The sequence below is a fragment of the Homo sapiens genome, chromosome 5 (genome assembly GCF_000001405.40).
Source record: "Homo sapiens chromosome 5, GRCh38.p14 Primary Assembly".
In the NCBI taxonomy this organism is placed as follows: domain Eukaryota; kingdom Metazoa; phylum Chordata; class Mammalia; order Primates; family Hominidae; genus Homo; species Homo sapiens.
The window spans coordinates 116,742,851-116,770,445 of NC_000005.10; the positions used below are offsets into that span (position 1 = coordinate 116,742,851).

At 41.6% G+C, this 27,595-nt stretch overlaps 2 long non-coding RNA genes across 2 annotated transcripts in view, besides 3 other annotated features; one reads left to right on the plus strand and one right to left on the minus strand.

Moving 5' to 3' along the window:
• Positions 1–451: 451 nt before the first annotated feature.
• Positions 452–19,359, minus strand: LINC02214 (long intergenic non-protein coding RNA 2214). Its single transcript, NR_104678.1, has 4 exons — positions 19,279–19,359; positions 18,045–18,165; positions 17,833–17,939; positions 452–538 (listed from the first exon to the last, which is right to left on the minus strand). It is a non-coding gene; the product is annotated as a long intergenic non-protein coding RNA 2214 (long non-coding RNA).
• Positions 21,096–21,145: an enhancer, noted in NCBI's record as "active region_22950". NCBI's record gives its function as "activates an Ori minimal core promoter by ATAC-STARR-seq in GM12878 lymphoblastoid cells {active_cell/tissue: GM12878}" and the evidence as "EXISTENCE:reporter gene assay evidence [ECO:0000049][PMID:35858748]".
• Positions 21,156–21,315: an enhancer, noted in NCBI's record as "active region_22951". NCBI's record gives its function as "activates an Ori minimal core promoter by ATAC-STARR-seq in GM12878 lymphoblastoid cells {active_cell/tissue: GM12878}" and the evidence as "EXISTENCE:reporter gene assay evidence [ECO:0000049][PMID:35858748]".
• Positions 21,426–21,715: an enhancer, noted in NCBI's record as "active region_22952". NCBI's record gives its function as "activates an Ori minimal core promoter by ATAC-STARR-seq in GM12878 lymphoblastoid cells {active_cell/tissue: GM12878}" and the evidence as "EXISTENCE:reporter gene assay evidence [ECO:0000049][PMID:35858748]".
• LOC105379133 (uncharacterized) overlaps positions 21,584–27,595 on the plus strand; it is a 49,950-nt gene continuing 43,938 nt past the window's right edge. The window contains exon 1 of the long non-coding RNA XR_948689.3: positions 21,584–21,731. This is a non-coding gene — a long non-coding RNA (uncharacterized LOC105379133). The remainder of the gene's footprint in view (positions 21,732–27,595) is intronic.

A 27,595-nucleotide genomic window follows, 5' to 3' on the forward strand; every position in this document is an offset into this window, starting at 1 on the left:
TTGCTTACTGCAACCCTGATGTGCCAGGAACGCTGAGCACCATACGAACAAGCCTAAGCAGGCTGGCTAGAGGATAAGGGGTCACATAGAAAAAAATTCAACAGCCCAGCCAAGGGTCAGTCTGCTCTCTGCTGACCCCATTGATAAATTCAGATGAATAAGCTTCAGTCAAGATCAACCAAGCCTGCCCCAGACCAGAGGGACCACCCAGCTATGGGCAGCTCTAATTGCCAAACTATAGAATTATGAACTATAAGGGCTGGGCATGGTGGCTCATGCCTGTAATCCCAGCACTTTGGGAGCCCGACGCAGGTGGATCACCTGAGGTCAGGAGTTCAAGACCAAGATGACCAACGTGGAGAAACCCTGTCTCTACTAAAAATAAAAAAAATTAGCCGGGTGTGGTGGTGCATGCCTGTAATCTCGGCTACTTGGGAGGCTGAGACAGGAGAATCACTTGAATCTGGGAAACGGAGGTTGTGGTGAGCCGAGATCACGCCATTGCACTCCAGCCTGGGCAACAAGAGCAAAAGTCCACCTCAAAAAAAAAAAAAAAAAAAAAGAATTATGAACTATATAAATTGTTGCTGTTTTTAGACACTAGGTTTTGAAATGATTTATTACTCAGCAAGGGTCTAGTGGGTGGGTAGACTAATATATATATATATATATATATATATATATATATCTATATATATATCTTACATATATATAAATCTAAGCTGATGAAAACTGCTATAAACATTTAAGACGAGAAAGGAAAAAGAGCAATCAGGAAAGCTTTTTCTTGAAAACATACTTGAGCCTGTGGATGCCTCCAGAACAGCTATTTCAGAGAGGGGAGGCAGTAAATACAAATATTTTGAGGCAGGAGCATGCTTGGTATATTCAGGGGAAGATGAGCAGGCCAGATGTGAACTAAGAGAAAGCCAGAGAGTGGGGAGGGAAATGCAGTGAGACAGTGATACGGTTTGGCTCAGTGTCCCCACTATAGTCTCATCTTGAATCATAATCTCCATGTGTCAAGGGAGGGACCTGTGATCTCCACGTGTTGAAGGAGGGAGGTGATTGGATCATGGGGCCATTTCCTCTGTGCTGTTCTCATGACAGTGAGTGAGTTCTCAGGAGATCTGATGGTTTCATAAAGGCCTCTTTCCTCTTCACTTTCTCTTCTCTCTCCTGCTGGCTTGTGAAGAAGGTGCCTGTTTCTTCTTCCGCCATGATCGTAAGTTTCCTGAGGCCTCCCCAGACATGTGGAACTGTGAGTCAATTAAACTTCTTTCCTTTATAAATTACCCAGTATTGGGCAGTTCTTTAAAGCAGTGTGAAAGTGGAAAAATACAGAGAAGTAGACAGGGACCAGTAATTACTGCAGAAGATGGAACATCGAATGCATGTTTTCAGAATAAAAGTGTGTGCTGAGACACATCGAGTGCCTGAGCACCACCTGTGCTTGGCCAGACCAATGGGAGAAAATGATCCAGGAAGTCAAAATGAGCAGGTTCAGCCATCTGGAAGGGTGTGAACGTGGTATGGGGGTGATGAGGGGAGGCAATGAAGCAACTGAAAAAAGAACAATTAAAAAATATGATGGACAAATAAATTTATGTATATTCTACTAGCTCTTTGCTTCCCATGTACAAATCAACAACTTTGCAGATATTTTTCTTCCAGGAAACCTTAAAATCACATATTAGGTGTCCCTTGTTGACATGCTTTTACATGCCTTTCCTCACCTCTTATGTAGTGATTAGTGTGTAACTAGGGAAATTATTTTTGATTTTAGGCCAGGCATAAAGTAATTAGGAAGATAAATCTGTTACATGAAAGAATCAATCCTTTTACTCATTCCACAGTCAAATTGAATTTTTTTAATCCAAGTCATTGCACTCTATGAGAGATTATACTGAGTTTTCTGCATTATTTTCAAGTTACAAATTATAAACAGGAAAAATTAGTACAGTATACACAATAGTGAGTTTACATATGGCAGAAATTCAGTTCTGCATGGTTAGCCTCATTCATCAAAGAACACTTCAAGCATGAATCTAGACACCATATAGTTTTGTGACAGTAATTTACTAAGGAATATCCTGGTATTCTAAGAGGGTTGAACCACCTTGACCATTCCCCAGGAGTATAAGACGTTCAGAACCGTGTGGCAAGTGAGGGCCAGGGACTGTGTACAAAATGATTTCAAGAGTCAGATCTGGTAATGTGTTTCCAAGTACGGTGGCAAGGCAGAAAAGACCCAGAATAGTTACCTGAAATTAAATGTTAGAGCCACAAGATTGAGGCTCTCTGAAAAAACCAAAATGGGCAAACAAATAGTGGGTTGTAGGGTAGTCTGAGGATAATGGAGGTCATTAAATAGGTCCCTGTGTGTGTTTCACTTGATGCCTAGGGAAATAATATCTAAAGAAGGAGTTAGAGGGCATATAGGTGACCAGGGATGCTTTTTTAGGGAAGAAAATGTAAATGTGGGTACAGATGAGCTGGGGTCTTTCCTATTGCCTGAGGATGATTCAATGAGAAGACCTAGTATAGAGAGTGAGTGGAGAACATCCAGCCTCGTTGTCCTCAGTGGAGAGAAGGATTGAGACAGCTTCTGGCAGATGGGATAGCTGTGGACACATTGTAATTGTGCCCCAGATGCTGTAGGTCTGCGGTCGTGCACTTGGTTTCAGCTTGCATGGGCTCTAGAGACAGTGCTGTCCAACAGAGCTTTCAGAGATGATGGAAATGTTCCATATCTGCATTGTCCATTAGAGTAGCCACATGTGACTCCTGAGTATTTGAAATGTGGTGTATGTGACTGAAGAGTTGAATTTTGAATTTTATTTTAATTAATTTGAATTTAATTTATTTTAATTCATTAAAATAACAATTCAAATTTGAATAGCCACATGTATTTAATGGCTAACAGCCCTATTGGCCAGCACCACTCTAGAACATTTGCTTTTTAGGGCCTCTGCCCCTGATCTGGTGATGGGGATTTTATGGGAGTTCAGGGCCTCCATAAAAGCTGACTGTCTGCTTTGGTCTCTTTAAGACCTGGAATAAAGCCTAGTGCAGCGTAGATGCTCAGTAAACATTTTTTGAATACATTAATTAATTAATTGAGAGAAGGGCAATCAATCACATATAACACTCCAAGATCCATATTTATTTCCAAAGTTTTACCAAATTGTCATCATCTTGGTAATGGGTCCTTGGTCAGAGTGATCTATACCAAAGCTTGCCTTTGAAAGCTTCTTGCTAAGGACAGGACCATGACAGTGAATCTCCATCCTGGCTGGCTTCAAATGATTCTCCCAACTCAGGCTTAGTCGTTACATATTTTTAAAGGTGCATATTGTTTGCAACATTTGTGGAAAATTATATTGAAAGACTAAGTTAACACATTGTAAATTCTCTCACCCTACAGAGTACCAGGATCTAGTTTTTTACCATGTGAAAATGCCATAATAATTGCCATTGATTATGTGCCAAGCACAAAACTAGACACTTTGTAAGTAGCACTTCCAGTCATTATGACAATCCTGTAAATAAAAATTTCCATCTCCCTATTACTGATGAGGAAAATAAGGCTCAGAGATATTTAGTTTACTTGTCCAAGGTTACACACCTTCCAAGTAGTTGAGCTCTGTGTGCCTTCAAAATCCATGCACCTTTCAGTGTATCCCCTTGACTTAAAACACTGTTATTGCATCCTTCAAGGGACCCAAGAGCCTAGGAATGTAGAAAAGAACTAAAGTTCACTGCAAATTGCTTGTTTTAGGAATATGTAACTAAAGAAACAAACAACCTATTATCTTAACAGGCTTCTTTTTGCCTGGGCCCAAATATAATTATGCATACTATAGAAACGATAGCCACCTAAAGCATAGTACTGCCCAGTGGAAGAAGGTGGTATTTATCCTAGATGACGAATTACCCCCTTAGATAATAAATCTGAGAGAGCTTTGTGAAGGATGACTTAGAAGAAAGACAAGAGTTTCCATTGGGAAGCTAGAGAGCAGTGTAGAAAATTATTGTGGTAAGTTTATTTATGTTACCATTTTGGGCTTTTATGAGAAATCCTAAAAGCCACATCTCTGGAGCTGGAAACTTGGCAGAAAGACAAAATAAAGTGTCCCATTTCTATCCAAGGAGTTACTAACATGATGGCCACGGGAGTCATTCTCTTTCCAGAAATGATTGAGCCAAATGTATTGTGATTAGAAGAGAGAAACAAACCTAGAATCCAGTCAAGATGACTCTCTTGTCTCTCATTTGCTGCCAACTTGCAGCACCTGCTGGGAAGCCCAATGCTTTGCCTCATTTTCATCAGGGCTTGGCTAATAGACCAGCAAGCTATGCAAAGTCAAGCTCTGAATGGCCTTGTTTGAGAAGAATTGAAGACAGGAAAGAAGAAATCTTCAGGTCACGGATTCTATTCTTCCTTTTATATGATCTAGGAAGCAAGTCCAGAGGGGGTAGAATGACTTGTTAAAGGACCTCACGTCAATCTCCAGCATCCAAGTCCAATGCTCGAACAACACCACTCTTCACAGTGAATCTGACCATGACTCTTGCTCCCCATTGCCTTCGTCCTCTCACCCTGGCCATAATTTGTGTTATATTCTTTACTTTTCCCAATACCTTTCTACAGGCATAATTGTTCCTGAATTCCAGTGCTGAGAAAGTGCTTGCCTGCTATTTGGCATCGTCACTGTCATCTTCCTAATCACTACCAACAACTAGCACCTAGCAGATCGCAGTTATTTAGAGACTACAACTGTGTGATGTGCCTGCTGAGATATATTGATAACTCATTTGAAGTAAGCATATGCCGTAGATCTCTAAGAAGCTTCTAGTAGAGAGGGGTAGGAACTATACAATTACAGATGCCCTAACATAGTTATAATGGTTGTTGTAGCTAGTAGTTATTGAGCGTTTACTAGGTACTATATCTAATGTTAAACAATCTGCATGTATGGTCTCCCTTAATTCTCAAATTCTACCTACGAGGTGGCAACTGGTATTATCTGCTTTTTCTGAATAAGGAAACTGAAATGGAGAGAGCTTAATAATTTGTCCAAAGTCATGCTCTGCTGACTCTTAAAGATGAAGTTTTTCCATTACCGCATTCAGGGAGTTGTGTGCCAAGCACAGGAATTCTTTTGCACTTGAAGCTCCCCAGTAATATGAGACTCCCTGCCCTTTCCCCCACATCTCTCCAGAGATGGAACCTTGTGCTAGAGTAAGAAGTCCAAAGTCTATGTTCCTGCCTGGGCCTGAGGGAGTCACTCAGTGGGCCTCCCCTCCCTCCCAAGGCCTCTCCTGACTGTCCCCCAACCCCAAGGAAGCATGTTAATGCATGAATACAGGTCCAGAATGATACATGGGTGGATAGCCATCACCTACCTGGAATGCCAGGGGCTTCAGGGTAGTTATCATGGTCAAAACTATTAGCTCATCATGTCCATAACTGTGCCTTAAATTCTGTCATTAGCTTTACGTCACAAGTTAAGATCTGCTATTTGTAAATACCCTCTTAAAAATGCCAGGATAAGTTCTTAACTCAGAAACCAGCAGGGTCTTAAAAGATCACTTACTGTTTGACATTTGAAGTGCACTTTTCCACAGAAGCCATGTTAAAAACACTGGTTAGATTTCTACACTGGCCCACAAATCCTTTGCTTTTTAGCCCTAATGTACCTGTCATTTGCTACTAGTAGTACTGTGGTACTATTTCAACTCTATCTAACTATGTCTGAAAATTGTTTCAATGGGAAAATGCAACAAGTTTCAACTCAAGATACTAGACACACAACCTTTCCTTTTACTAGTGGGACTGAGAACTGATTGCCTGGTCTTCCCTAAGAGTGATAATAGGCATCCCTTGCCCTGGCCCAGATCATTGGCCCTGGAGTTTCCTGTCTTGGCACAGGTACCAAGCAGAACATGCTGGAGGCTGCTGTGCGTGGAGTTATGGGAATAATCAGAGAGGTGATGTTTTCGGGAAAACTGAACCTAAAGCCAGTCACATTACATAATTAGCAAACCTCATATTATATAATCTGGCAAAACTTAATAAAATTAAATAACAAATATACCTCCCACTTGACCCAGTAGTGCCTGCAGAAATCTAGCCTCAGAAACAAAATAATCTGTATATAAGGAGATACGCACACATGTGCGCACACACACATACACTGTGGTTCTATTTTTTAGTAGCAAAATCTGGAAAACAACATAAGTGTCTATCAACAGGCAAATAAATTATGGTACATATTTAACATGGAATATTATGTACCTATTTAAAATTCTAGTTAGAACTACATCTGTTAGCTTGGAGGATGTCCATGAGGTATTGTCAAAAAGGAAAATAAATCTATAGGATAATATGCATATTAAAAGTCAGATTTTGTAAAATGGGATCAAGAGCAGCTGAAAGCAAATAAACAAAAAAAAATCTGCCCTCTCTATGTGTCTGTGATGTATGGTTGCCATGAGAGTGGAGAACCATTTGGAATAACTTATACCAGGGGGTCAACTCTGGCAGCCTCAAGAAAGTAGGGGCAGGCGGTTTATATACTACACTCTGTGCCATTTTAGTTTGATTTATTTTGGAAGCACTATTGCTTTTGTAAGGCTTAACGTTTTTCTTTTTATTTTTTATTATTTTTTTTTGAGATGGAGTCTTGCTCTGTCACCCAGGCTGGAGTGCAGTGGTGCATCTTGGCTCACTGCAAGCTCCACCTCCCAGGTTCACGCCATTCTCCTGCCTCAGCCTCCCAAGTAGCTGGTAGCTGGGACTACAGGCGCCCGCCACCATGCCTGGCTAATTTTTTCTATTTTTTTTTTTTAGTAGAGACGGGGTTTCACCGTGTTAGCCAGGGTGGGCTCGATCTCCTGACCTCGTGATCCGCCCGCCTCGGCCTCCCAAAGTGCTGGGATTACAGGTGTAAGCCACTGCGCCCGGTCATAACTTTTTTTCTTAAAAAGTTGAAATTAATGCCGGGCATGGTGGCTTATGCCTATAATCCCAGCACTTTGAGAGGCTGAGGCAGGCAGATCACCTGAGGTCAGGAGTTCGAGACCAGCCTGGCCAACATGGTAAAACCCTGTTTCTACAAAAAATACAAAAATTAGCTGGGCGTGTTAGTGGGTGCCTGTAATCCCAGTTACTTGGGAGGCTGAGGCAGGAGAATCGCTTGAACCCAGGAGGTGGAGGTTGCAGTGAGCCGAGATCACGCCATTGCACTCCAGCCTGGGCAACAAGAGCGGAACTCCAAAAAAAAAAAAAAAGAAGAAGTTGAAATAAAAAAAAAAGAGGTTGAAATTTGAAAACACAAAATGAAAGGTGAAAGAAAGTACTGAAAACATTCCAAGCAAGGCTGTTGCAATGTTTCATAGGCTGTGCCTTGGGCATGATTCGGAGGAAACAGTTGGGGTTCCATACCTGGCCTAGGTAGTAGCAGTGGTGGTCCTGGGGTGGATGTGATGGAGATAATAGTAATTCTTAGAGAAGCAGGAGCTCCAAACATACTTCTAAAAGCAGAGGAGTGGGAATGAAATGGGGGAAAGTAAAACATTCCTGAAGAACGATAGTTCTCCACCATATATATTCCTACAGGCAGAAAAATAATCTTATTTTGTGTCCATAGCTCCTGGCATCATACCTAAATCAGATATTGTCAGGATGCTCTGATCTGGGAGAAAAAAAACAACTTCACCCTCCCCCCACCCCAAAACACACACACACACACACACACACACACACACACACACACACACACACAAAATGGTGAGATAGGCAGGTGTCTGGGAGTGCTAGAAGATTTTATTTTTATATGTAAAGCATTGATAAGATAGACAGAGGATCTTAGCTAGGGATGACTCCTTGGAAGAGAGAGTTCAGTAAGTCATTTATACCTTAAATAAGAATGAGCTCATCAGGATATTCTTCTATATTCCTTGCCCAGGATTTGGCAGAGTGACAAAGAAACATGCCAAATAGAGACTGAATAATAGTTCTGCTAGATGACTTATGTCTTGCAGAACAAACATTTCCCAGATCTGTTAGAGTATCAAAGCATCATCTTCCCTTTTCAATATTTTGACAACATAAAAATCATCATCATCATCATCATCATCAATATCATCATCATCATTTTCATCATGACCACTAAGGTGAATTGAGTGCTTGTGTTCCAGGCACTCTGCTAAAAGCTTTATATCCACTATCTCATTTTATGTGTATAACATCCCTATGAGGTAAGGCTCTATTATTATCTTTAATTTACACATAGGGAAATTGAGCCAGGATTCAGACGCACTTTATTTGATTCAATACCCATACTCTTAATAAACTTGGGAGGCAGTTGCTACAACATACTTGTTAGGGCTCAAACCAGCTCCCTGAAATCAAACTTCCATGAGTGTAAAGTGACATATGTGGGTTCCCCAGAAATCAATTTCATTAGTCTGTGATGACATATCCCCAGATTGGAAACAGCCCTCATGAAAAGCTGCTGAGGATTTAGCCGATCATGAGCCTGACCTGAGCCAAGAGTGTGATGTAGCTATTAAAACAACAATCTGACACTGATTCAATAGAAGTACAGGGTTGTAATGTTATTAAGTAACAGGTCTGTCATACTCTATTGTTCAAAAACAAAATATCAGGAATATTTTTTCTTGTGGACAATACATTTTAAAAATAAGCATGTATGAACAACAGTGTGTCGGGAGAAGCATGACAAAGAATTTTCAAGGTACTCAGTGGTACTTACTCTAGGCCAGGCACCTGCTGAGTGCTTTACATGCATTGTCTAATTTAATTTTCACAATGCCTCTAGAAGGTGTGTACTCTGTTTTTCACAAAAGAGAAAATGAGGATTAGGGTACTTAAGAAATGTGTCCTAGGTTGAACAATTGATAAATGCAGAGCTGGGATTTCATACCAGGCTTGCCTGAAACCAGAGCCTAGGGCACTGTCTCTAGCCAGGACCCAAAAAATTGTGACCTGCATGCAACTATGCAGCAAGTTTAGGATGAGCTCAGAGAAAATAAGACTTTGGGGAAAAACCCACTGGTTGTCTTTGGTATCTGGGTAAATGTATAACATAGATATGTTTTATTTAGTCCACATTGTAGTTACTGTTTTTTCTTTTTAAAGAGAACTTTACACAATGATTCTTATTCCTACTTTGCTTAAAAAATTTTGTAGGCAATACCAGACCCTCATTTTTAGCCTTGAGAGCTGCAGAGCATCTTCCCCAATCAAAGGGCATAGATTTGCCAGTTTATTATAGTGCCCACAATGCCTTACAAAATCTTTCACCTAATTCTTTTAAGCCACCCATCTGGCTCCAGGGGGAAAGAGGGAAAACTGTGTTCTGTTGAGCTCCAGCGAGTAGAAGGGAGGCCAATTCCTTTCAGCAGAGAAGCCCTTTCTATAAGGTAGTTCAAGTTAATGGTTTAGACCAAAAACTTCATGAGATTGTGAGGTTCCCATCTGTGGAAATAATCACATGGGGTTTCGACATGTCAGAGATTCTGTGTCAGGTTAAGATACTGGAATAGATGAACTCCATGATCTCACCATTCTGGCTCTCATATAATAGGTCCTTAATATCTGTTTTTAGGTTTCAAAGTCCCCGCTGGAACATTTTCTTGCAGGGATATTTTCTTTCAAGAAAATAATACCTGCAGAATGGGAAAGAAAATTGGTGCTGTTTGCATGTTCTTTACCATGCAGGTATTATCGTCTTAATAAGAAAAGATAAGCTAGAAAGAGCAGATGATTATAGTCAGGTATTTCACTCAGTCAGGATTTTTTCTGCCTATGAGTAGTTGAATGTTGTTTTCTGCCAGTTAATTTTCCTATAAGCTATTGCAAGATTCTTGCTAGTGGACAAATAACATTTGAATTCCTAGGGAAAAGGGGCTTCTTTAACAGATCTAATACTGGCAATTTTGAAGGATGAAGAGAGATACTTTTTAAGTGAGCTCATCAAATAAAAAAGACTGTTGTTGGGACAATAGATAACTTTTTTGCTTATAAAATTTCGATAAATACATGTGATAATGGTTTGAAATAGTGACATGTAATATATTTTTAGTTATGTAACTAAATGTAAACTTTAAATTTGTAATTTTAGTTACTTGTGTGGACAGACAAAATGGAACATGTGTATGATAAAAATAACACTTCACATTTTTATTGTACTTTCCAAAGCCCTATCCTACCATTGAATTTAATTTATGCAACAATTTTGTGTGATGTTTTCTCAGTTAACACATATGATATTTCAGTGTAATTGTGTCATAGCCCTTAAGTTTTGGTAGGAGTGGCAAACCCCAATGCCTGTAGGGGTAAGGCAGGTAATGTAATGAGCAAAACAGAGGCACATGTAAGAAACAACAACGCAAGGACATTGATAAAACACATTTGGCCTCAGTGTTGGGGAGAACAGTGTGATGGATCAGTCTGTGCTTAACACAGTCACTCAGCATATATTTCCATATTCTTCTACGTACGTTTCTGGACTACAGCTAGTGTCCTACAGGTGAATTAGGCTCTGTGAATTAGATGCCTTTGTGTGTGATTTGGACGGCTAGATTGGGGGCTTCTTTCTCCCGCTGTTTTACTTGGCAAATAAGGTTGCAGGTTGTAGAGAGGCAGCTGTAGCCAGAGTACTGGCCTTCTGATCTCAGGATCGCTGACACAATCAGCATTCAGAATCGCTGATATAATCAGCATTCAGAATCGCTGCGTTCTTGAAGAGCTAGAAATCAAGATGTGAAATAAATTGTGAATAAATGTGAAATAAATTGATTTTTAAAATATACTTAATACTTGATTTTTTAAATATACTTACTGTGAACTACATTGGTTTCTTAAAATATACTTTTCAGGAATACTTTTAGATTTACTTGAAGGTTATGAAGATAGTACAGAGAGTTCCCATCTTTTCCACACCAATTTCCTCTATTATTAGTACCTTAAACTCGTATGGTACAAGCTGAGTATCCCTTGCGGAATCGGAAGTGTTTTGGATTTTGAATTGTTTTGGATTTTTGCATTATACTTAGTGGTTGAGCGTCGCTAATTGAAAAATCCAGAATACCAAATGCTTCTCTGAACATTTTCTTTGAGAATCATATCAGTGCTCAAAACATTTCAAATTTTGGAGCACTTCAGATTTTGGGTTTTCTAATTGGGGATGATCAACCTGCATATTTGTTAAAATTATTGCACTAATATTGATACACCATTATTAATGAATATCCATACTTCGTATGGATTTCTTCGGTTTTTACTTTACATCCTTTTTTGACCCAAGATCCCACTGAAGATATAACATTAGATTTAGTTGCCATGTCTCTTTAGGTTCCTCTTGGCTGTGAAAGTTTCTGAGACTCCTTGTTTTTGGTGACCTTGATAGTTTTACAAAATACTGAGAAGGTATTTTGTAGAGGTCCCCTCAATAGGGGTTTGTCTGATGTTTTTCTCATAATTAGACTGGGATTATAGGTTTTTGGAAAGAAGAATTGTCATGCCAGACCCCTAATGATGCCAGTAGGGATGGCACTGTGTCTGCAGGTCTAAGAGGAGACCCAGAGCCAGCAAAGGAGACATAGGGTTTATGGAGGACTTACATACAGCGACTGTGGGCTGGACAGGAGAAGCACTATCATTTGTAAAAAGCATGCAGTTTAAATAGCATTTTTTACTTAGCACTGTCCCTCTAGAAACCTCCATTTAACTCAAAACAGGGTTCTCAATTCCCTGAATAGCTGCATAACAAGGAATGGGTCAGGTGTTCTGATGTCCTTCTTAAATAAGGAGTAAACCTCTGGGTTGGCCACTCCTGGATTCCTTAGTTTGGAATTCTGAGCCAACATTCTTCTTAGACCACAGTGTCATGCTTGGGGTATGCTTAAGTTATTGCTGACAGGTGAGGATACATCTGTCATATAAGAGCACAGAGGCAAAGTGCCATTCTCATCACATCATATCAAGGGTACATATTATAAATATGACTGATTATACTAACCTTGATGACCTGGCTGAGGTAGTGTCTGTCTGCTGTCTCCACTGTAAAGTTACTCTTTCACCCCCTCTCCATACTGTACTCTTTAGAATAAAGTCACTATGCACAGCCTCCTTGGGAGTTGATATGGTTTGGCTGTGTCCCCACCTAAAATCTCATCTTGAATTGTAATCCCCATAATCCCTATAATCCCTACGTGTCAAGGGCGGGACCAGGTGGAGGTAATTGAATCATGGGGGTGGTTTCCCCCATACTGTTCTCATGATGGTGAGTGAGTTTCATGAGATCTGTTGGTTTTATGAGTGTCTGTCATTTCCCCTGCTTGCACTCATTCTCCCTCCTGCTGCCCTGTGAGGAGATGCCATTCACCATGATTGTAAGCTTCCTGAGGCCTTCCAAGCCATGAGGAACAATAAGTCAATTAAACCTTTTCTTTATAAATTACCCAGTCTTTGGTATTTCCTTATAACAATGTGAGAACGAACTAATACAGTAAATTGGTACCAAGGTAGTGGGGTATTGCTATAAGATACCTGAGAATGTGGAAGCAACTTTGGAACCAGGTAATGGGCAGAGGTTGGAACAGTTTGGTAGGGCTTAGAAGAACACAAGAAAATGTGGGAAAGTTTGGAATTATCTAGGGACTTATTGAATGGCTTGGACCAAAATGTTGATCATGATATAGATAATAAAGTTCAGGCTGAGGTGGTCTCAGATGGAGATGAGGAACTTTTTGGGAACTGGAGTAAAGGTGACTCTTGCTATGCTTTAGCAAAGATACTGGAAGCATTTTGCCCCTGCCCTAGAGATCTGCGGAACTTTGAACATAAGAGAGATAATTTGGGGTATCTGGCAGAAGAAATTTCTAAGCATCAAAGTATTCAAGAGGAAGCTTGTTAGGAAGCTTCAAATGTTTGGAAAATCTGCTGCTTGACAATAGAATAAAAAAGAAAAACCCATTTTCTGGGGAGAAATTCAAGTTGCTGCAGAAATTTGCATAAGTAACAAGGAGCCAAATGTTAATCACCAAGACAATGGGGAAAATGTCTCCAGGGCATGTCAGAAGTCTTCACAGCAGCCCCTTTCATCATGGGTCTGGAAGCCTAAGAGGGAAAAATGGTTTGTGGGCTGGGCCTGGGGCTACCTCTCCCCCTGCCAACCCCCCCACCCCCCAACTTCTCTGTGCAGTCTTGGGACGTGGTACCCTGCATCCCAGCTGCTTGTTTCAGCCTTGGCTAAAAAGGGTCAAGGAGGGGCCGGGCACGGTGGCTCACGCCTGTGATCCCAGCACTTTGGGAGGCTGAGGCGGGTGATCACGAGGTCAAGAGATCGAGACCATCCTGGCCAACACGGTGAAACCCCGTCTCTACTAAAAATACAAGAATTAGCTGGGCGTGGTGGCGCATGCCTGTAGTCCTAGCTCCTCGGGAGACTGAGGCAGGAGAATCGCTTGAACCTGGGAGGCGGAGGTTGCAATGAGCTGAAATCACACCCCTGCACTCCAGCCTGGGTGACAGAGGGAGACTCCATCTCAAAAAAAATAATAAATAAAATAAAAAATAAAAAGGCCCAAGGTTCAGCTTGGGCCATTACTTCAGAGGGTACAAGCCCCAAGCCTTGGTGGCTTCCACATGGTGTTGAGCCTGTGAATGCACAGAAATCAAGAATCAGGGTTTGGAAACCTCTGACTAGATTTCAGATGATGTATGGAAATACCTGGATGTCCAGGCAGAAGTTTGCTGCAGGGGCAAAGTCCTCACAGACAACCTCTGCTGGGAAAGTGCAGAAGGGAAATGTGGAGTCAGACACAGTGGGGACAGAGTCCCCACTGGGGCACCACCTAGTGGAGCTATGAGAAGAGGGCCACCACCCTCCAGACCCCATAATGGTAGATCTACTGACAGCTTGCACTGTGAGCCTGGAAAAGCCACAGACACTCAATGAAGAGCAGCCAGGAGGGGAGTTTTACCCGTCAAAGCCACAAAGGCAGAGCTGCCCAAGGCTATGGGAGCCCACTTCTTGCATCAGTGTGACCTGAATGTGAGCCATTGAGTCAAAGGAGATTATTTTGGAACTTTAAGGTTTAATCACTGCCTTGTTGGATTTGAGACTTGCATGGGGCCTGTAGCCCCTTTGTTTTGGCCAATTTCTCCCATTTCGAATGGACCTATTTACCCAATGCCTGTACCCTCATTGTATCTAGGAAGTAACTAATTTGCTTGTGATTTTACAGGCTTTTAAGCAGAAGGGACTTGCCTTGTCTCAGACGAGACTTTGAACTTGGACTTTTGGGTTAATGCTGGAATGCTTTAAGATTTTGGGGCTGGTGGCATAATTGTGTTTTGAAATGTAAGGACATGAGATTTGCAGGGGAACCAGGGGTGGAATGATATGGTTTGGCTGTGCCCCACCCAAAATCTCATCTTGAATTATAATCCCCATAATCCCCACGTGTCAAGGGTGGGACCAGGTGGAGGTAATGGAATCACAGGGGTGGTTTCCTCCATGCTTTTCTTGTGATAGTGAGTGAGTCTCACAAGATCTGATGATGGTTTTATAACCATCTGGCATTTCCCTTGCTTGCAGTCATTCTCTCTCCTGTTACCCTGTGAAGAGATGCCTTCTGCTATGATTGTAAATTTCCTGAGGCCTCCCAGCCATGCAGAACAGTGAGTCAATTAAACCTCTTTCCTTTATAAATTACCCAGTCTCCAGTATTTTCTTTTTTCTTTTACTTTTAGATGGAGTCTTGCTTTGTCACCCAGTCTGGAGTGCAGTGGTGTGATCTTGGCTCATGCAACCTCTGCTTCCCAGGTTTAATCAATTATCCTGCCTCAACTTCCCAAGTAGCTGGGATTACAGGCATGCGCCACCATCCCTGGCTAATTTTTGTATGTTTAGTAGAGATGGGGTTTCACCATGTTGGCCAAGCTGGTCTCAAACTCCAGACCTCAAACAATCCACCCGCCTCAGCCTTACAGACATAAGCCACTGTGCCTGACCTGTCTCAGGTATTTTCTTATAGCAATGTGAGAATGAACTGATACAGGAGTGAAGTAGCTACATAATTTATGTGGAATTCTTCTTTTTGAGATACTTTTCTCCCATTTATTAGTTTATTCAATAATTTCTTTACGTAAGTATGAATGCATGGATATTTATATTTTGAGTTACAATTCAATATTATGTTATTTCCTTTGTTGCTCAAATTGTTGACAATATTGGCCATTGGGAGCTCTTTCAGTTGGCTCCCATGTTCCTCTGTCATCCCCCCACCATTCTGCAAGTTTTTTTGGCTTTGGGGTTTTTTTTGGAGTACTTCCTTACTTTCTAGTACTATAAGATGCTTCAGACTTATCTTGTATATTCCCTGCCTCAAGTCTAGAATCAGCCATTTATCAGTTGATTCTTAAATCTTGCCTTAAAAGAAAAATGTTTTTTTTTCTCTTTTTTTTTTTGAAACAAAGGGCAGAACAAACAAAGCACATCTGTGAGCTAGATCAAGGCTGTGAACCACCAGTTGGTGACTATGGCTAGTGGATTCCATTCCAAACACTGTAGTATCACTCTTTTGTGTCTATTGTTAGCTTATGAGTGCTCTCACCTCACAGCTCATATCAAATTTGCTCTCATTCTCTTCATTCACACAGGTAGAGATGACTGTTCATGGTTCTTTTATTTTAAAAGTGGTCAAGTATTAAGATAAATCAATCACTTAGAAGGCATGGTAGTGAATTCAGGTGAAATACAGTGATCCTGTACACTCTCTTTCCCAAAAAAGGACAGTCTATTTGAGACAGAAAGGATGGATAAAATAAGACTCTACTCACAAAAAAAGCCAAAATGTAGTAAGTGCCACAAGTTGGCAATGTACACATATGAAATCAGGACAGCATAGAATAAGAGAAAGCAGTGGAGACTCTGAGGACCCGAGACGGACCATGAATTAATAGATCATGATTGATTGCTCTCTCATGATTGGTGGCTTCTGTGGAGAGCAAGAGAGCGCCAGCATTGTGTAGGTGGGCTGACCACCACTCAGCTCTAGATGATTGTTATCACACAGAAAAGAGGGCCTTGTGTTGTCCAGTCTTCTGATTTTCAACAGAAAACTGAAGGTTTTCTAAAATCACTCCATTTTTAATTACTGACAGCATATTCCTTCCCTCTCCCTCTCAAAAAACACTAAAACGATTTGAAATTTAACCTCTTTGGGGCCACCAGTTTGAGACCACTGCAGGGAGGATATTGCTGATGTGCTTTCATAGAATTTCAGGCATCAGGCAGGTTCTGGAGGCCTTTTTTAGACTCAGCGTTCTCCGTTTTTAGACCCTAGGTCTAAAAAAGTTGCTCCTGTGTGAGCAACTGCTCCTTCCCTGAGTGGAATGCTGACTCCAGCCCATTCTCCTAGTACTTTGTCAATACCACTACTGGGAAAAGCTGAAACAACAGGACTTAAACAAGAACTTTGCCACAAGATGTGCTGCTTTCTTCTGTTTCTTGCATTTAGAAAAATTTGCTGAAAACATTCTCAACCGTCACAGGCTAGCTGAGGTGCTATGAGACTCAAGGTTTCAGTGACATAATCGTCATTACTAACACAGCAAAGTGAGCACTTAGAAAATGGTTGACTTTGGCTGGGTGCGGTGGCTCACGCCTATAATCCCAGCACTTTGGGAGGCCGAGGCATGTGGATCACCTGAGGTCAGGGGTTCAAGACCAGCCTGGCCAACATGGTGGAACCCTGTCTCTACTAAAAATACAAAAATTAGCCAGGTGGGGTGGCAGGCGCCTGGAATCCCAGCTACCTGGGAGGCTGAGGCAGGAGAATTGCTGAATCTGGGAGGTGGAGGTTGCGGTGAGCTGAGATCGTGCCACTGCAATCCAGCCTGGGTGACAGAATGAGACTCCGTTTCAAAAAAAAAAGAAATAAAAAAGAAAAGAAAATGATCGACTTTATAAGCTTAGTAAATAGAGGCTCAGGGCACAGAACAATTCTCCTTTGCTGATGGATCCAGTGCCTGGGAGCCAGTCCCCCACCAGGCTTGCGTTCCAGCGTCCTCAGCTATGCGTCCCTCCGGAGGCTGAGTCAGGACTGGGAAGTCTCTTATTGGCACAAAGGAAGCCATGCTGAGAAGCTCCGCTGGCTGAGTAATTGTGCTTCCCTCTGCCTCTCTCACCCATGCTGCAAGAGCCTAATGAGCAGCCTGGCTGGAGGACCCCCCTAGAAGCCACCTGCCCTGCTGTCTCAAGATTAATGGAATCAAGTGAGGCAGCAAAAATGCCATGACAGAACCTTATGCTGCCAATCCTCTCGGTGTTATTTAACTAAAGAAACCGTAAACAAAAACGAAGAAGAAGAAAACAGCTGGTGGTATAATCCTGCTCTATTCTTCATGAGAAAGAGAAAGGGGAAGAGAGTTCTGATTTTCATATCTGAGAGGTTTCTCTTGGCTGAAACTTCTAGGGAAGCTTCTACATATGCATAGTTGTAACTCCAACTTTATTGTGAAATGTTAGAGCTGGGATTCAGCTGTAGCCCCTCCCTCTCGAAGGTGGCCTTTTGTGACCTCCAGAGCTCTACTTCAAACAACTCAATTTCAGGGATTTCATAGCTCTTTATAAACCAAGCAGTGAGTAGTAGCACATTCTATTCCTCCTGATTCAAGAGAAGAGAAATCAAGGCACTGAATAAACACAGGCCGTTTGGTGTGGTCAGGGCCTAAAAGTACAGAAGCAGAGTCTGACATTTGAGTTATATCCATTGGCAAACAATACTCACTATTTCTTGACAAATTTCAGGTTTTGCTCTTGAGAGAGGAACTGTAGTTGGCGACTTTGTTTGTTCAAAGACATGGAATCAGGCACTCAAAAGTGCCCTCGATAATGCTGGAGTTTGCAAGAGAGGACACAAAATGGAAAAGTCAAGAATGTTAATGGCTAAGGCAGATGAACAGGTTATTCACTTTCTTTTTGAACTCTGTGCCTACCCACCTTCTGGGGATTATATTCTCCATCCTGAGAAAGCAAATTGGCCATGCTTTATAGCCCAAATACTGGCTGGCAGTCTCATTTGAGGAATTTGTTTGTCTTGCTGTCAAGCTTGCGTTCTGAGCTAAATAGGCCAGAAAGGGTGAAGAATACTGTAGAAACACAGGCTAAACCCAGGGTGAAATTATTACAATGTAAAATATCCCTTTTAAGAAAGGGGCAAATTCTAAAAATTCTGTTCTGGATTTCTGGAATTACAGATCAATGATAAAGGGTGACTGATTCATGATGTGACAAGTTAGCACCCAGCTTCTCCCAATAAATGCCATCCAGACCTTCTTTTTGTGGCGGGGGGTGGGGGGGGGGAAGGCTTTTTCCCCCTTCATACATAATACTTACAATAAAATTATTTAGACATTCAAATACCAGAACTTTTGTGGCTTAATACCAACTGCTTTTTTTAGTTAATAAAAACTATCATTTACAGAATATTTACTATGTGCCAGGAATTACACTGAATTAGGACTTTACATAAATGATCGAATTGAATCTTCATAATCCTATGAAAAAGTAATATCTGTCAGGCCTCTGAGCCCAAGCCAAGCCATCGCATCCCTTGTGACTTGCACGTATACATCCAGATGGCCTAAAGTAACTGAAGATCCACAAAAGAAGTAAAAACAGCCTTAACTGATGACATCCCACCATTGTGATTTGTTCCTGCCCTACCCTAACTGATCAATGTACTTTGTAATCTCCCCCACCCTTAAGAAGGTACTTTGTAATCTCCCCCACCCTTAAGAAGGTTCTTTGTAATTCTCCCCACCCTTGAGAATGTACTTTGTGAGATCCACCCCTGTCCACAAAACATTGCTCTTAACTTCACCGCCCATCCCAAAACCTGTAAGAACTAATGATAATCCATCTCCCTTCGCTGACTCTCTTTTCGGACTCAGCCCACCTGCACCCAGGTGAAATAAACAGCTTTATTGCTCACACAAAGCCTGTTTGGTGGTCTCCTCACATGGACGCGCATGAAACTATCCCTGTTTTACAGATGAGAAAACCGAAGCACGAAGAGGATTAGTAATGTGGCTAAAATGGTGCAGCCAAAGTGTGGCAGAGCTAGGACCCAAACCTAGGGATCTGAGCCAAAGGCTCAGGTTTTGACCTCTTAGCGCCTTAAGGCTCACTGATTGAAGTGTGAACTCTGCAGTGAGTTTCTGTTATTCCATACCTCACTCTGTCTCTGGGCTCCAACTCTACTTCTTTTATTCAGAATTTTAGGTTCTTTATTTAGGAGCCTGTAGAGTTCAGGCAACTTGAATCTGAGCATGTCTTCCTTGCAGTGAGAATTCCCCAGTTCCCACATACCAGGAGCACAAACCTGACTTTGTACTTCCTGTGCCTTCTACATGTCTTTGTTTCCGTTCAGGCCAGCACCAATTAACTGGATTAATTAAGCATAATACAAACTAGACGAGCTGAAGCTCAAAGTAAATTAATGAAGAGCCTATTCTATCAATCTAGGCAAATATTGGAAAAGTACTTATGGGCCTTGTTCTCTCAAATGAGGACTGAGGTCTGGGTGCTAAACAAAGCTCAGGTCCCATAAAATCCCTAGGTGTAACTTTTCCCATTAGTATTCTCACTGATTTAGAATGGTTGTTATTCCAGCCTCACCCCCACCTCTTCTCTCCAGCCCTTAGCAATTTATTTTCCTTTTTAAAGATTTTCTTTTTAACAATCTCCACACTGGCTTTTACCACCAAATGAAAGGAAACTTTTTTCTTGGAACTTTGTTGCTTTTTCAAAATATAGCCCTGAAAGTCTGATACTCGAATCTTATGTTTCTAGTATATTAACTAGATCCTTCCTATGCCATAATTGTGGCCAGGTGCCTGGATTGGGAAGAGGACTGAGAAAGGCACTTACCTATAAGGTTAAGATTACAGGCCCATCAACAGGGTAGTGGCTAAACAAACTGTAGTTTTATATGATAAATATAATAGCATAGTTAAAAATGAGACATAAAGTAAGTTCTAACATGGTGCAGCAAAAATACACAGTGTATTTTTTTACTTCATTTATGTAAGGGGCAATCACCAAGCAATACCATATATATATCTTTTCCCTGTGGGTACACACACATGGGTGTACGTGAATATAACAACATTTGAAAGATGCATTCAAATCCATACCGATACCCCCAGGAGGAAGAGAACATGAAGCTACTAAGAATGTGCAAGAATAAGCAAAACAGAATTTAAGCCTTATACATGTTGTTTTAATGTGAAAAGGAAAATGTATTCATGTATTTCTTATATCATTAAAAAAATAATTTTAAAAAAGGTAAAATAACTTCAGCTTTAGAGAAGGTCACTGCAGCCCCCAAATAGGATACTTCTACTTATTTCTTGGTACATCATAAAATCCCTTACAGCCTTTATATAATTAAAATCAGAATCCAAATGTAAGTGTCTCTAGACTACGTGACAAGGAGAGCTCACCTCCTGGTAGAATGTAAATGAGTGACAGTGTTTCCTTGAGATGAAGTTTTGTTTGGGAGATGTTAGGGCTGCAGGCTCAGAGCTGAGGAAGCCTCAGTTTTGCTGGGGATGTGATACTCTTAGCTAGTTTTGTAAGTTCACCTGGGGATTGCCCTAGTTAAGGGCTCAATCTCTGAGGGGAATTTTTTTTAGTTTTAGAATTTTTTTTTTTTTTTTAAACAGAGTCTTGCTCTGTTGCCCAGGCTGGAGTGCAATGGTGTGATCTCGGCTCACCGCAACCTCCGCCTCCCCGGTTCAAGTGATTCTCCTGCCTCAGTTTCCCGAGTAGCTGGGATTACAGGTGCCTTCACCACGCCTGGCTAATTTTTGTGTTTTTATTAGAGACAGGGTTTCACCATGCTGGCCAGGCTGGTCTCGAACTCCCGACCTCAGGTGATCTGCCCGCCTCGGCCTCCCTAAGTGCTGGGATTACAGGCGTGAGCCACCGCGCCCGGCCCAGTTTTAAATTTTTTTTTTGGCTGGCATCTACATCCAGCACCCTGTCCACACAGCTTACCTCTGTGGTAAGTTTTTAGAGTACAGACAGTTCAGACACTTCTTGGGAAGCCAAAGCAAAACAAAACATCAAGCCAAGAAACAACCCCACTGCAGCGGTGAGAATATGTCTCATTATTGACTTTAACAATTTGTGAATTCTTAGGACCAAGAACATAAGTCATTGCAGTTGAAAATCGAAACCTGCTGTGGCTTGCATTTAGCACCCAGGCTGCCAAAGGACCAGGCCTGTGGGGATTCCCTGTGAAAATGATGTGGCCTGAAGCACGTAGCTCCGCGTGCTCCCTGCTCCGTGTGCTTAAGTGCCTCTGGGCTGGGCTGGCCTGCCGTGGCCATACCACCTGTAGGGGATTTTCTTACGAAATCTAAGCTGTGGGAAATGGGAAATTGCGTAAAAATCTGGGTTGGGTGATTTAAAAAAAAAGCAGGGGCTGGGCATAGGCAGTAATATAAGGCAAGATGGCTAAGGAAGAAGGTGGGCAGCGGAGCCGGTGAAGGAAGCCGCAGGCGCGGATGGAGGCGAAGAGATCAGGAGCAGTAAAGGAACACTCTCTTCCCCAGTCAGCTGGGATACGGATTTTGTAAGGCCTAGGGACTTTGTCTTTGGAGGTCCTGTCTCCATAAGGTAACATTAAAAATGAAAGTTTACGAGTGTGCTGCTATAAAGACAAACTTATGATGTTCTATATTAAAATACACCTAAGAATTCTTTTTTATTTTCTGCTAATCTTAAAGAAATTAGAAGATTTTTGTGGAGCTCCCCTTTTCTGCAAAGGATCGTGGGTCCTAGGCACTATCGTACTGCATCTAATGGAGAAGTCACCCTTGTCCCCAAAAGAATGGCATCTTGTTTGTTTCCTCCTATAAATAAATTTATCCCTGATTTCCAAGAACTCATAACCTAGATCATCTCTGATTTCACATTTCCTGCTGCTCTTATAGCTGCCCCCTGCTCAGGAAGATAAATAAATAAATAAATAAGACATAGGACAATTTCTAAATCAGAGTTTAATGGTCTTTGAATCTTAAAGGATTTATCAAGATAAGGTAGGAAATCAACTACCTTTTATGAGTAACTGCTATGTGCTGGTGTCATTTAATTTACGTAAGTTCCTATGAGTTAGAAATTGTCTCTCTTTTAAAGGGCCTTTCACAAAGGACCTAGGTATGTTGGTAACATGCTTGAAGTCATTCAACCAGAGAGGGTTAGAGCTGAGTCTGGAGCTCAGCCTGTCTGTCACCTCTGCTACACTTGCTGCTCCCTTTGCTTAGAACATTCTCCCCTGTTCCCCCCCTCCCCACCCCGCACCCCTACTTCCTTGTTATGACTGTGGCTGACATAAATAAATAAGACACAGGTCCATTTTAAAATCAGTTTAATGGCGTTTGAATTTCGAAGTGTTTATAAAGATAAGATAGAAAATCAGGGCTTTCCTTCAAGGCTGTTTGTGGCAAGCACCCTCAGATGGCAACCACTAGGTCATTCTCCATCATATCACACCACAGTGGTGCCCAACATTGCCTTTACAGCCATCTGGCATTCCTTGTTTATTTCTCTCTTATCTATGTGTTTATACTGTGTTTCAGTTTGTCTGTTTCTCCCCATTTCTAACCCCAGACTCAAGTGTATGGACCCCATGACAGCAAGGGTCTTTCCTTCCTGCTTTACTGCATGCCTGGCACACAGCCCGTGTTCAATAAGCATTTGTTGACTGAATGACTCAGAATCCAAAGCCTGTATGCACTGTAGGGGAAGAAAAATATATTTTTCTCATCCATCACTAGGTTCATGGATGAGGCCCCTGTAACAAAAGATAAATTAATGAGTGGAAAACATATACACACTTAGTTATTGGAAGTTTAACATGACACAGGAGTCTTTAAAGGAAATGAAGGCCTGAAGAAATGAGAAAGCTGGTGTATTTTTATGGTAGATTTTTGATGAAGAAGTGGATAGTTATGAAGAAGTATGATTGGGTAAAAAAAAAGTATGATTTAATGGTAATAAACTGTGTGTGGGAGGGTACTTAGCATGGACTGTTTGTTCAGATTCTTCTCTGTGACCCTTTTTCTTCAGAAATAAGGATGTTCTTTCCTACCAGTATTGGGAGGGCACAGTTCACATGAGGGTCTTGTGATCTCCTTCAGAGGAGGGTCAGAAAATTCTTCCTAGGTTTTAGGACCTGCTTTAGGGGAGAAGAGCAGGAGAAGGCGAGGGTGACCTTCCTGCTTCTGCTGTTTTCTCAAATGCCAAGGTGCCGTACTTTGGGGCAGCTTGTCCTGAACTCCATCAGCACATTAGCACATTATTACCACTGTGCACTGCTTCTCTGGATGGCTTGCTTTCTTTCTTCTTCTTTTTTTTTAATTTAAATTTTCTTTACTTAAAACGCAGCCAATTTTAAATTGAGATAATGTGACTCAATGAACAGGAAGCACAGGCTCAAAGTTCACAAGCTACATGAATTTGAAGAAATTGCTTAACCTCCTTATGGTTCGATTTCTTAAAATAAAACAAGGATGACAGAACAATGCCTCCCAGTCTAAATATAAGAGATAATAGAAAAACAAAACGTACCCTTATGGTGTACAAATAATAACATTAATCGAGGTTAACACAGCACAGTCAGTGTTGCTGTCATGGAATACTACAGGAGATTGCTCACCACCAGCATTATTACATAAGAAGTATTACAGTAAGCAGTGAGCTCAGAGATTGTCTATTACGAGATACTTTTTGGAGAGAGCATTGAAAAGGCAGATAGAAACAATGACTCAGCCAGTATTACTCATCTCTGAAGCAAAGAGCTGTGGGCTCCCGGTGTTGGGTTTGCATCCAGTGTTGACATCACTAAATGCTGCAGGAGGACTCCTGTGGTCTGAGTCCTGTTCATTTAGGAGATAAGACTCTCCAAAGAACTGGGTAATTTGCTGCGAGGACAAAAAAACCAAACACCGCATGTTCTCACTCATAGGTGGGAGTTGAACAATGAGAACACTTGGACAGAGGAGGGGAACATCACACACCGGGGCCGTTGTGGGGTCGGGGGAGTGGGGAGGGATAGCATTAGGAGATATACCTAATGTAAATGAGAAGTTAATGGGTGCAGCACACCAACATGGCACATGTATACATATGTAACAAACCTGCACGTTGTGCACATGTACCCTAGAACTTGAAGTATATATAAAAAAAAAAGAATTGGGTAATATGGGGGGCTTCTCTAGTTCTGCTGTATAACTTAACCAAGTCTGATAGCCAGACACCAGAATTTGTACTACAAAATTTTTTTCGGTGCCAAAAGGATGATATGAGAACAAGAGTCTAGGCTGACACTTCTGTCCACAGGCTTTTTCTTTAAAGTTGGAACTCTTTTGGCCAGGGCCAGTGGCTCATGCCTGTAATCCCAGCAGTTTGGGAGGCTGAGGCGGGTGGATCACAAGGTCAGGAGTTTGAGACCAGCCTGGCCAATATGGTGAAACCCTGTCTCTACTAAAAATACAAAAAAAAAAAAAAAAAAAAAAAAAAAAAAATTAGCTGGGCGTGGCCGGGGGCAGTGGCTCACACCTGTAATTCCAGCACTTTGGGAGGCCAAGGTGGGCGGATCACCTGAGGTCGGGAGTTCGAAACCAGCCTGACCAACATGGAAAAACCCTGTCTCTACTAAAAATACAAAATTAGCCAGGCATGGTGGCACATGCCTGTAATCCCAGCTACTCGAGAGGCTGAGACAGGAGAATCACTTCAACCCAGGAGGCGGAGGTTGTGGTGAGCTAAGATCGTGCCATGGCACTCCAGCCTGGGCAACAAGAGCAAAACTCTGTCTCAAAAAAAAAAAAAAAAAAAAAAAAAATTAGCTGGCCGTGGTGGTAGGCGCCTGTAGTCCTAGCTACTCAGGAGGCTGAGGCAGGAGAATTGCTTGAACCTGGGAGGTGGAGGTTGCAGTGAGCTAAGATCACGCTACTGCACTCCAGCCTGGGCCACAGAGCAAGACTCCATCTCAAAAAAAAAAAAAAGTTGAAACACTTTTCTGCATGGCTGAGGAGTTCCATGGTGTCCTGACAATGATCCTCTCACAATAGTAACCAGGGTCCAAGGCTGGGCATGTTGACGCTGAGTGCCTAATGGATGCTAAATTCTTACTTGCATAATCAGTTCTCTCCCAAGGTCCAAATCATTATTTTGCAGAGCACTTTGGAACAAATAGGGGCTAATTCTGCTCCAGGGTAACAGTGGCTGATAAATATTTCAGACTGTCCTTTCATCTTGTTTCATAGGGACTTACATGTGTAACTCCTTTGCAATCTTACCAGAGTATACTCAGAGCAGGTATTTTCTAATGAAAAAAATATGCATCTATGTATATCTGGCTCTTCAAAAATAACAGTTCGTAATTGCTGTCTTCAAAGAAGTCAGTCAACATTAGCCAGACAGTAATGTTCATCTCTGAAAGACTACAGAACATGCTGGGGAGGATGAGTGGCTCCTCTTCATTGTTAGATTGGACAGCCCTCCTGACAATGGTCTGGTCCTCCTGTGCTTACCTTGGTCATGGCATAGCCCACACTTCTTATTTTATAAGAGAAGGCTTGTGAAATTGCCTGCATCCGTGGGAATCCCAGTGTTCGTGACTGTATTATCCTTAAGCTTCAGCTTTTTTATTCAGAGTAGTTAGGGCATCAACACACTTGGGAATCCCTGGTATATATTTTGCATAAGAAGTCTTGTATTTTATTAATTAATTCATCATAAGAAAATGTGCTTTGGTGACTGATTTTTTGGGAGGAAATTCAATGTCTCATTAGGGATCATCACTGCAGCTTAATGCAATTATGTATGTCAAACCTAATGACATTTGACATTGTGGCAAGAGAGACTCTCTAAATGGGATGCGACTTAAGAAGATGACAAACCTAGGATTGTTTGTTTCATTTTTTTCCCCTCAAACATAAATTCAGGTTGATTAGACTTTGGGGCTTGCTGTATCTCCTTAGTAGATGACCTAAAATCACAGTTCACTAAGTTCTTTTGTTTAAGGTTATGACTTAATGGTGAAAAAACAAACAAACAAACAAAAAAAACACCTTGGTCCTAAATCATGTCTTTCTCTATTTAGTTGCCTAACAGATGTAGAAAAGTAATATCTTAAGCAAAATCATGTGGCACATTAAGTTTGACCTAAAAATCAGTCCAGTTTCAGGGAACAAGCCGACTTTTATAAACATTTCAAGAAATAGCAAATGACTGGGTTCCACTAAAGGTATACCATTACTTAAAAGTTCCCCCTTCACTCAAAAGAGACCTTACGAATTATTTCATAATTTCACTGAATATTTGCTAGTCTATCCTTTACATCAATGCCTTTACTTACCTCTTAGCAGATATTTAGGCTTCACCTATTTCACTTTTCCTGTGGTTATCACTTAGGTCGAAAGGTTTGCTATGGCTAAAGGCTAACCAAGGACCAGGGTAAAGAAGAATGATGTCAAAATTCAAGAAGTGTTTGACTGGTGATATGGCAGAGTGACTTTGATTTAAAGCCAGACTGTAATTGATTTGCTTCATGATCTTGGGAAAAAATCATTTACTCGGAATCTTCAGTATTATCTTATGTCAAGCAACTGTGAATCACACTTTCTCTCTCTGTAGAGTACACAGTGCCCAGTACAAAGCCCTGCATAGAGCAGGGGTCCAAGTCCATATGACTATGATACTAAATCTATTTCTTTTTTTTTTTTGAGACAGAGTCTCTGTCATCCAGGCTGAAGTGCTGTGGTGCAATCTTGGCTCACCGCAACCTCCGCCTCTCAGGTTTAAGTGATTCTCCTGTCTCAGCCTCCTGAGTAGCTGGGACAGCAGGTGCGTGCGACCACGCCTGGCTAATTTTTTGTATTTTTAGTAGAGACGGGGTTTCAACGTGTAAGCCAGGATGGTCTCCATCTCCTGACCTCGTGATCTGCCCACCTCAGCCTCCCAAGGTGCTGGGATTACAGGCGTGAGGCACCGCACCTGGCCATTTGATACTAATTCTTAAAATTAAGTATTATTCTGTGCTTCAGGCAATCATTTAGCTTTATTTCTCAGCATTAATGAGAGTAGGCCAGGAGCGGTGGCTCACTCCTGTAATCCTAGCACTTTGGAAGGGCAAGGCAGGAGGATCACTTGGGCCCAAGAGTTCAAGACCAGCCTGGGCAACACAGTGAGACCCCATCTCTACAAAAAATTAGCTGGGCATGGTGGCATGTGCCTGTAGTCCCAGCTATAGGTGGCTGAAATGGTAGGATCACTTGAGCCCAGGAGGTCAAGGCTGCAGTAAGCCATAATTGCACCACTGCACTCCAGCCCAAGTGACAGAGTGAGACCTTGTCTCAAAAAAACAAAAAAAACAGAGTAAACATATTTTCTGAAGTAGATAGATCTAACTTAGGACACTAGGTTGGGAAAAATTTGGGCACTTTTGGTTAACCAAGTGAATTTTAAATATAATA